This window comes from Homo sapiens, chromosome 17 (assembly GCF_000001405.40).
Source record: "Homo sapiens chromosome 17, GRCh38.p14 Primary Assembly".
NCBI lineage: Eukaryota > Metazoa > Chordata > Mammalia > Primates > Hominidae > Homo > Homo sapiens.
Window position 1 is genome coordinate 44,915,625 of NC_000017.11, and position 3,094 is coordinate 44,918,718.

Here is a 3,094-nt window from a genome sequence, read left to right on the forward strand (position 1 = left end):
GAGAGCTCCCCTCACCCCACTGAGGTCACTGTGCCCAGAGGCAGAGCTTCCTGGGCACGCCAACTCCTGCATGAGGCAGGTGGTACCTGGAGCCAGACCATGGGTCTGGGGCCCTGACCGCTGAAGCAAGAGGACCCTCTCTCTAGGAAGGTGGGTCAAGAAAGGGTTGGTTGGACCATGATGAATACTTACAATTATTATGCATCAATTAAAAAGGAAGGAAAGGGCTGAGTGGGGTGGCTCATGCTTGTAATCCCAGCACTTTGGGAGGCTGAGGCTGGAGGATTGCTTGAGCCCAGTAGGTTGAGGCTGCAGTGAGCTGTGTTTGCGCCACTCCAGCCTGGGCAACAGAGAGAGACCTTGTCTCACAAAAAAAAAAAAAAAAAAGGGAAGGAAGGGCTGTACCAGATGACCTCTGACCTGCTTTCCAACTTTTTGATTTCATAACCCAGGCATTATCTCACTCAGCTGTAAGTGCCTGCAAGGTGCTGGGAATTTGGCGAAGAATGAACCTGTTCTGTACCCTCAAGGGCCACCTCATTTCCTACTAGGCCTCATTCCCAGCAGACTCCTGGAGTCCTTCCCTTGAACACAGATGTCCCACATTCCTGCTCTCTGCCCATTCATTCCCTGGAGTTCTGGGGCTGGGGGCTGGGATTGGACACCAGCCCTTTGTCTAAGGGTCAATCATGGCCTCTATGTGGCAGTGGAGGTCCTGATAGGGCAAGAGGGGGCCGGCACTCTCTTGCCTTATCAGGACTTTAGCCCCTGGATCTGTCCCTCCAGGTCACCCCTTCCTTGTCTGGCCTCCCTGTGCCTCTCTCCCAGAGACCAGGCCTTGACAGCTCCACAAAGCCGTTACACATGAGCTGGCTGTGCTGGCTCGTCTTTATTCCTGCAGCGCCCCGTTTCCCTGGCCACCCCTCCGTCTCCCACTGGAGATTTATTTCCTCGAGTTCCCACACATCAGCCTGGAGAGATGGGAAGAACCTCTGGGGATGGATGGGTTTGGAAACGCTGGAGCCACTGGGCCCAACTAGGAGCCTGAGACCTGGGCCCTGTTGTCCCTGGAGACTTCAGGTCCATCTACGCCCTCCACTCTGGTCCCACAGGGTCAGAACCCTGCCCAGTCCCCTCACCCATTTGTGTCCTTGGACTTCTGGGAAGCAGACAGCCCTCCTCTCCCCCCCTGCCACCCACTGTCCATGCCTGGGCATCCCCTGATCCCCTTTCCTGGGCACAGGCTGAATAGAGCCTTGTTCTCCACCGCCGGTGGCGCCACACAGCAAGGGCAGCCCCTAGGGGGCTGTGCTGCTTTTATCCCAAGATGCCAGGCTGTCAGGCTGGGGTGCAATGCAAGCCCCCTGCTCAATGGGCTTCTCGGAAGGCATTTGAGGGGGGCTGGGGTGCGGCGGGAAGCAGGCACTGTGCCCACCCCGAACATTGTGTCTGTGCCAAGGTGAGTCATTCACTGGGCATGAAGAGGAGGCCCTGGGGGGCGGCCAGCCCAATGCTGCCAGGTCTGCTTGCAGACAAGGCCTGGCTGTCTGCCTCCTCCCCAGCTCACAGAGCCAGCTCAGGCCCCCGAGCCTCTGTCAGAGCAGCGTCCCCTACTCCACACCAGGATATGTTCTTTTTTTTTTTTTTTTTTTTTTTGTCTTTTGAGACAGGGTCTCACTGTTGCCCAGGCTGGAGTGCAGTGGCGCAACCACGACTCACTGCAGCCTCAACCTCCCAGCCTTAAGTGATCCCCTCACCTCAGCCTCCTGAATAGCTGGGACTACAGGTGTGTGTCACCACACGTGGCTGATTTTTTAACTTTTTTTGTAGAGATAGGGTCTTGCCATGTTGCCCAGGCTGGTCTAGAACTTCTGGGCTCAAGTGATCCTTCCACATCAGCCTCCCAAAGTGCTGGAATTACAGTTGTGCGCCACTGCGCCCAGCCCAGGGTATGCTCTGCATTTGGACATGTGATGGACAGACTGCCTCCTGAGGTCTCCCTCTGTGAGTCCCAGCACAGAGAGGGAGGTGGGAGCTCCTTAGGCTCTAGTCACATCTGACCTGGGCGTAAGCAGTGACATAGGAAAGAGCATCTTGAAGACGGGGTGAGCGCCCAGTGACCTTTGATCCTGCTATGAACTGGGGACCTGGGGAAGGACAGGAGGCTTTAAAGGAAGAGCAAGGCTGGGCATAGTGGCTCATGCCTGTAATCCGAGCACTTTGGGAGGCTGAGGTGGGCGGATCGCTTGAGTCCAGGAGTTCGAGACCAGCCTGGGCAATGTGGTGAAATTTTGTCTGTACAAAAAATACAAAAAAATTAGCCAGGTATGGTGGTGCACTACTGTGATCCCAGCTATTCGGGAGGCTGAGGTGGGAGGATCACCTGAGCCCAGGAGGTGGAGACTGCAGTAAGCCAATGTCGCATCACTGCACCCCAGCCTGGGTGACAGAGACTCTGTCTCAATAAATAAAAAAATAAAATAAAATAAACAAAATAGAAAAGGAAGACTGGGGATAAGCTCTTGTCTGAACTCTGTCTCATCTCTGTGGCTAGGAGTGGCCCGCCTTTCCAGGCTGCCCAGCAAGTCACAGCATGTAGCCTTCCCTTTTGGTTCAAGGGAAGTCTAGTTAAAATAAGGGCAAAGCTGTCCTAGAGAGAAAAGATGTGATGAGCAGGAGGTGCCTGTCATTGAAGCTCAGTGAACTGTCCCTGTGTATGTGAGACACAAGCTTGTTTCAGCATCAGCAGTTGGAGTCCCCCAGCTTTTGCCATCAGCCACCTCCGTGGACCCCTGTCATAGGCCCAGGTGCATCCTCCACCCCTTCTCAACCCTCAGACCTTTCCTCACACTCAACCCTTAACTATCTTGTTTTTGTTTTTTGAGACAGGGTCTTGCTCTGTTGCCCAGGCTAGAGTGAAGTGGTGCTATCACAGCTCACTACAGCCTCAATCTCCCTGGCTCAAGCGATCCACCCACCTCAGCCTCTCTAGTAGCTGGGACCACAGAGATACACCACCATGCCCAGCTCATTTTTGTATTTTACTAGAGACAAGGTTTCGCCATGTTGCCCAGGCTGGTCTCGAACTGTTGGG